This window comes from Homo sapiens, chromosome 16 (genome assembly GCF_000001405.40).
Source record: "Homo sapiens chromosome 16, GRCh38.p14 Primary Assembly".
NCBI classification, from domain to species: domain Eukaryota; kingdom Metazoa; phylum Chordata; class Mammalia; order Primates; family Hominidae; genus Homo; species Homo sapiens.
The window spans coordinates 21,789,514-21,796,444 of record NC_000016.10 but is presented as its reverse complement, the minus strand read 5'-3'; the positions used below and the strand labels follow the sequence as shown (position 1 = coordinate 21,796,444).

The following is a 6,931-nucleotide window of genomic DNA, read 5'->3' as shown; positions in this document are numbered from 1 at the left end:
GTGTAGTGGTGCGATCTTGGCTCACTGCAACCTCCACCTCCCGGGTTCAAGTGATTCTCCTGCCTCAGCCTCCCAAGGAGCTGAGATTACAGGCATGCGCCACCACACCTGGCTAATTTTGTATTTTTAGTAGGGATGGGGTTTCACCACGTTAGCCAGACTGGTCTCGAACTCCTGACCTCAGATGATCCACCCACCTTGACCTCACTTACAGGCGTGAGCCACCGCGCCTTGTCTCTGTTATATTTATTTCTCTATTTAAATTGATGGATATATGCAAACCTGATCATTATCATACTTATGCCTTGACACAAGAGAGGCAATAAACTAATCTAAGTGATGCTTGTGATGCCAAAGATGTCAGAACACTTTCTGGGCCAATGGCAGATACCTCATGTCACCAGATGCTAAGGGTCCACAATAAAAAGCGTTGAATGAAAATTTTGAGGATAAATATCTCCAGGTTGAGGAAGAAGGTTGCACATATCGGGTGCTCAATAAATATTTGTCGAATGAATGAATGAGTGAATGGCCCCAGTGTGTGGGGCTTGGGAAGTGATTGGATATAGGCAGAGAAAAGGAACAAGTCAAAAATAATTCAGAAATCAAGAACAAGCAAGTTGCCTTGATATACTTCATTCCTACACTTGGCAAACTTTAGTGATTAAGGAAACAATGTTTTAAAAAAAGTTTTGGTGATGAGACATTCAGGAAGATCTATCAATAAATAGCAAACCTGGTCCTTTTTAAGACACTGTGTATAAAAAAATTCCAAAAAGATTAAAATCAGTGCAGAAACCAAAGAACCATTTTTTTCTATATCATATTGATCATTTCAAGTGGAACTGTTAGCTATCTTAGAAAAATTGTGGTTCTCAATTGGTTTTGCCTCTATCTCTGAACCACCATTCCTAAAGGAAAACATTCAACCAGAAAATTTCAGCACATCACAATCTCTCTGAAGATTAAGAAGTCTCTGTGAAGGACTGAATGTATAAATTGAAAAATTTTTGCTGTCACATTTAGGTAAAAGAGAAATCGTTCTTCATATCCCCTTCCTTTCCATCTGTAGCTCACCTATGTCAACTTTCCTCTCAGAAGTGAAATAAAATTAAAGCTATGACACTGAGTGTCAGTCATGGAGGGACACGTTCCCCACTTAGCCTTTGCTGAAGTGTTTCCAGAGACAACTGTCTAATGCCAGGTCCCCACTTAGTGGGCTGCACTTTTCTACTCATTTGCACATAATCCAGAAGTCACATTTTGGGTTCACAGTTTCCACTGGGGTAACCTCATTAGGCCTGGCCACCTCTGTGCTTCTTGTGAAGTCTCTGATTTGAAGGATTAGTATCCTTTCCAGACTGTGTGGGTTGACTTTCACCCATCTGGAGTTGCTTGGAACAAAGATAACTACCTCAACTCCTTGTCATGAAAGCAAAAAAAAAATAGCATTAGAGTTCTGAGAACAGGATGTCATTACGGGTTGTGCCTTGTCAGCTACAGGTAAGATATTTGAGTGGCTCCTCAAGCCTCCCCAACTCCCTCTCCAACCTCGCTACACAGTCTTCCCAGGTCTGGTATTTGACCTCCAGACTGCCGCCCAGAAAGCAACTCAGAGCTCAGCAACACCATGATGATGAAACACAAATATGTGGGCCCCCAACTTTGGAGACTCCACTGGTTGCTTTTGTGCAGCTCTTTCTATATATGACTTTCAAAATGGCAGCCAACCCTCTCAACTGTTGGTTGATCTGAATATGTAAAGTTCAGCCTTCAAACCCAGCAAACAGTCAGCTATAGGATAGAGTTCAGGTGCTGGGGAATGACCACGGTTGGCTGCTACGTTGGGAACCCTGGTGACATCATATATGGACCTGGGAATGTAAAGAAACGTAGGAAATCTGAATTTATGACTTTTCTAATCTCTCTATCGGGATCCTTTTTTGGAATCAAGATGATTTTCCTTCTAAAAGGTCATTTTATTACAGTAATGGGCAGGGTAGACATACCTCACTAGCGTACTCTCAAAATTTCTTGCATGCATATGCTTTCTCCGGCATGCATATGCTTTCTACTACAATGTGAACAAGCCTACGAAAGCTAGCCTAATGGAGGATGAGAGACCACGTGGAGGAGAGCTGAAGTGCCCCAGCCAGCAGCTAGCCTACACCCACAGCTATTTTGCTTGTGTTCCACTCGTCCTATTTGCATAATATTGTTCTTTAAGTTAACCCATTCTTAATTTATTGTTTTAATCTTAAGCAATAATATTCAAGAACTAATGAGTTTTGTGTATTCATTATATTTTTCCATAATATATATTATACTAATAAATGCCCATTCAAATTTTTGTTTGAGTGCTCAAGTGGGTATCATTTAAAATAATCTTATATACTATATATAACAGCCAAGGTTTGGGCAACACAACAGAAACTGCATGAGTTTATTTTATCAGAATTTTTTAAACGGTATGGGAGAACTAAAAAAGTAAAAAAGGGAACCCTTGAGTTAACAAGGAGATAAGAACTACGTAAAGCAGTTACTGTCCTGAAGGAATAAAGGGAAGAGCATGGGGTTATTAGAACCTAGAAGTTTGGAACCACCAGGAGCTGGGACCCTATGAGGAGAGGGTTGGCCCCTGACAATGCTGGTGTCTCTAAGGGAGCTCCTGAGGCTGATTCTAGCAGTGTAGGGAAAGAAACTGGAAACTGGAACAATTTCCTCTGTAATCAATGACCCTTGCCAGGGTAAAGAATCACTGCTGAAGAGATGCTACTGGAAAAGCAAGCAAACAAAAAGGAGGGTGTCCCTTCCCCTTCTTCCTTCCTTCCAGTCTCCCTCATGACAGAGCATCTGGCTGGTGACGGGAAAAGGTGCTCCACAGAGCACCACCCCAACATCACACGGGCATCTGCTGACCCACAGCTGACTGCAGATGAGGAAGCTCAGCCTAGGTCACACAAACGCCTCCCAGCTGAGTCTAGCCTAAATTGCCAACCTGCCAAATCATGAACTAATAAGTGACTATTGTTTTAAGCCACTACCTTTAAGGGAATTCAGTATGCAGCAATAGCTATCTGATCCATATAGGCCTACAAGGCTATAGAAAAACTATCACATGTAATCCCAGCACTTTGGGAGGCCAGGGCGGGTGGATCAACTGAGGTCAGGAGTTCGAGACCAGCCTGACCAACATGGAGAAACCTCGTCCCTACTAAAAACACAAAATTAGCCAGGCATGGTGGTGCATGCCTGTAATCCCAGCTACTTGGGAGGCTGAGGCAGGAGAATCACTTGAACCTGGGAGGCAGAGGTTTCAGTGAGCCAAGATCGCACCATTGCACTCCAGCCTGGGCAAAAAGAGCGAAACTCTGTCAAAAAAAAGAAAAAGAAAGAAAGAGAGAGAGAGAGAGAGAAAGCAGAGAGGCTACTGCAGAGAAAAGTCTAGAAGGATGGGTTCATGGGTTCATCGAGAGACAATAGCTTAACAACCAGCACACCATAGTTGGCAAAACACTATCATTGAAAAAAAAACATGCTCAAAAGGGGAAATGCCAGTTTGGGTAAATATGCTTTTGTGTTGGAGAGAAAGAATTTGGAACAGGCTTTTCAGACCCCCTTAAGGCCCAACAAACAAATTATAATTTAGACAAGTCTGGGATTCTTCACAGCTCAGCTTGTGGTGATGGTATTAGCTTCACAACTCCAAACAAGTTAAGCTGTCTGTGTGAAATCTCCTCAACAACACCTCACTGGCAAACCTGGAGGTGCTGAAAACAGAGCTTTCAATTCTTGTTTGCAACCAAGGGAGTTGAGTTGGCAGATGGGCACTGTGTCCAGCCTTGGGAAAGGACATCGCAGACTTTGCATCCTAAGAACTCATAACCACAACGGCAAGGTAAGACACAAGCTCTTGAAAGTTTCCATCACAGTGCAGCACAAATGACCTTGGCTATGTGCCCTGTTATTGCTGGTCCCTGCTTAAAAATCTCCTGTGACTTCCAACCACACAAATTTCCTACCTGGTTGCAAAAATGCCCTTGATAATTCACCCCTCCCTCTATCTTGCCCCCTTTACAATGTGGCTTGGCAGCTCCTCCCATCAAGAGTTAAAATCTATTTCCTCACCCCTTGAATCTAGGCTGGCCATGGGACTTGCTTTGGCCAATAGATGTGGCAGAAATTATGGCGTGACAGTTCTAAGCATGAGTCTCAAGAGGCTTTGCATGCAGCAACTTTCTCTTAGAACCCTGCCACCATGTGAACAATCCTGCCTGGGCTAGCCTAATGGAGGATGAGAGACCATGTGGAAGAGAGCTGAGGTGCCCCAGCCAACAACCAGCCTACCCCAGAAGCAGAGGCATCTGCTGACCCACAGCTGACTCCAGATGCATAAGGGAGCTCAGCCTAGATCCAGAACGCCTCCCAGCTGAGTCTAGCCTAGACTGCCAGCCTGCCAAATCATGAAGTAATAAGGGACTATTGTTTTAAGTCACTACCTTTTGGGGGAATTTGATATGCAACAATAGCTCTCTGATACATATAGGCCTACAAGTCTATAGAAAAACTATGCTGCCTCTCTCTCCAGCCACACAATTTCTTTCTCTTCTCATTTACTATTCTAATTCCTCTGTGTTATAGTCTGTGTCCCAAAATTCATGTCAAAATCCTAATCTCCAAGGTAATGGTATTAGAAGGTAAATCTTTGGTAGGTGATCAGGTCATGAGGGTGGAGCCCTCATGAATGGGATTAGTAACCTTATAAAAGAGAACCCAGAGAGCTCATTTGCTGCTTCTGCCATGTGAAGATACAGTGAAAAAAGAAGCAGGCCCTTGCCAGATACGAGTTTGCCAATGCCTTGATCTTGGAATTCCCAGCCTCCAGAACTGTGAGCAGTAAGTTTCTATTGTTTATAAGCTACCCAGCCTATGGCATTTTGTTACGGCAGCCTGAATGGACTAAGACAGTCTACCTAGACCATTATTTCCCTTTCATCATCCACCAGCCAATTCCAGCACATCTTTTAGATCTCAGCTTAAATACTCCCTCCAAGACCTCCCTCTATCTCTAATATGAATGAAATCCATATCTCAAGTTCTTCACAGAATCCTCTACTCTTTCCTTCATGGCATTTGTCATAATTTGTAATTATATATCTAGCAAAGTTCTTTGTTGTTAAACATCTACCTCCTCCACTCTCCTAGAAACTCCACAAGGACATCCCTGCACCCAGTGCCTAGGCAATGCCAGACACATAGCAGATGCTCCATTAATTATCTGTCGAATGACTGAATGGCTTCCAAGTTAGTTAACTGGGCACCCTTGATAACAGATTCTGGCCTATTTGAAGGATCAAAGAAGAAAGTGGTGCTACCTTCTCCCCTGCCACTATCTTGCCCACTTGTGGTGCCAGTTCAGGAGGTTTGGAATGGATGTGGCTAATGATAGACGTAGACCTATTGCCTTTCTTGGATCATAATTCTGCCAGGCTCTGAGTCCATGTGGCATCGATGGCTAATTGTCCTCCAAAATTTATCCTCTCTTCTTCCATTTATACCCTCCCATGGAGTTTTAACAGGGCATGTGGTCACCCTACTGGGATCTCACTTCTCAGCTTCCCTTGCAACTGGATGTGGCCTTGTGACTAAATTCTCATGAACAGAATGTGAGTGCAAGTGATGTGTCAGTATCTTCATCACTTTCCTAAAAAGGGAACTGCTGGTCCTCCACTTCCTCTCTTTCACCCTTCCAATGAGCCAGAACATGCATGTGATGCTGGTGAGTCAGCTTCAGTCACATGAATAAAAACAAACTCCAGGAGATGACTAAGCAATAAGACAGAAGGAACCCAAGTCCCTAGACGAGTTCACAGAACCAAGCTACCTATCCAACCCTGGGCCCACCTGGATTATAACATGAGAAAAACATAAGTCCTAATCATATTTTTGAAGCACTGCATTTTAGGGCTTCTTTGTGACAGCAGCCTACCCTCTAGTCTAATCAATATACCTCACCAAGTCTCCTGCTCCTAAGGGAGACAAAGAAGCAAAATGAGTCTCAAAACATCATCCAAATGGAATAGATACAGACCTGTAATCCCAACACTGTGGGTGCCCAAGGCGGGTGGATCACTTGAGGTCAGGAGTTTGAGACCAACCTGGCCAACATGGCAAAACCCTGTCTCCACTAAAAATACAAAAATTAGCCGGACGTGGTGTTGTGCACCTGTAATCCCACCTACCCACGAGGCTAAGCCGGGAGAATTGCTTGAACCCAGGAGGGGGAGGTTGCAGTGAGCCGAGATCATGCCACTGCACTCCAGCCTGGGTAACAGAGTGAGACTCTGTCTCAAAAAAATAAATAAAAATAAAAATAAATAGACCATTAATTAATAGATATAGCCTTGGTCTGTGACCAAAGCTCAGAATGTTATGATATTCCTTTCCTATGTCACCTCAACTTGCCCCTGTCATCAGACAGGACAAATTCCCCACTGGTCCTTTGCACTCACAGCTGTTACATTTGAAATGGGAGCTTAGCCTTCCCTGCCCTGGTTCCTCCTTAGACTCATTTGGGAAAACAGGAAACGTAATTATTTCTGCCATTACCTTTATCTCATGGAGCCTGACAGAGTGTAACCAATGGTAGGAATTAAAACATTCTAATTGCCAACTCACAACAACTCCCGAAAAAAATCATTTTAACTCATTATACATATTAAATTATGACATGCTTAATGTCCAAACCTAATAGATTCAGTACTCAGGAAATCCCTTATACAGGTAGACACCTTTCCTCCTGTACTTTAAGAAAATCTTACATCAATATGCGGGACTTCTCAAATTTTTCTATCACAGTTTTCTTAATAGGAAGGAGAATTTGTGCCAAAAGATGTATGGAAATTTAGCACAAAGTAGCCCTCTACAAGCG

The 6,931-nt window shown here is 43.2% G+C and overlaps 1 long non-coding RNA gene across 2 annotated transcripts in view, besides 1 other annotated feature; it reads left to right on the top strand.

Annotated features, from left to right (window-relative positions):
- Positions 1–3,354: 3,354 nt before the first annotated feature.
- LOC105371126 (uncharacterized) overlaps positions 3,355–6,931 on the top strand; it is a 31,769-nt gene continuing 28,192 nt past the window's right edge. For both annotated transcript variants that reach the window (XR_002957908.2, XR_002957907.2), the window contains exon 1: positions 3,355–4,896. This is a non-coding gene — a long non-coding RNA (uncharacterized LOC105371126). The remainder of the gene's footprint in view (positions 4,897–6,931) is intronic.
- Positions 5,597–6,097: an enhancer, noted in NCBI's record as "H3K27ac hESC enhancer chr16:21801669-21802169 (GRCh37/hg19 assembly coordinates)". NCBI's record gives its function as "activates a minimal SCP1, AML or CMV promoter by ChIP-STARR-seq in naive H9 embryonic stem cells {active_cell/tissue: H9 hESC(naive)}" and the evidence as "EXISTENCE:reporter gene assay evidence [ECO:0000049][PMID:30033119]".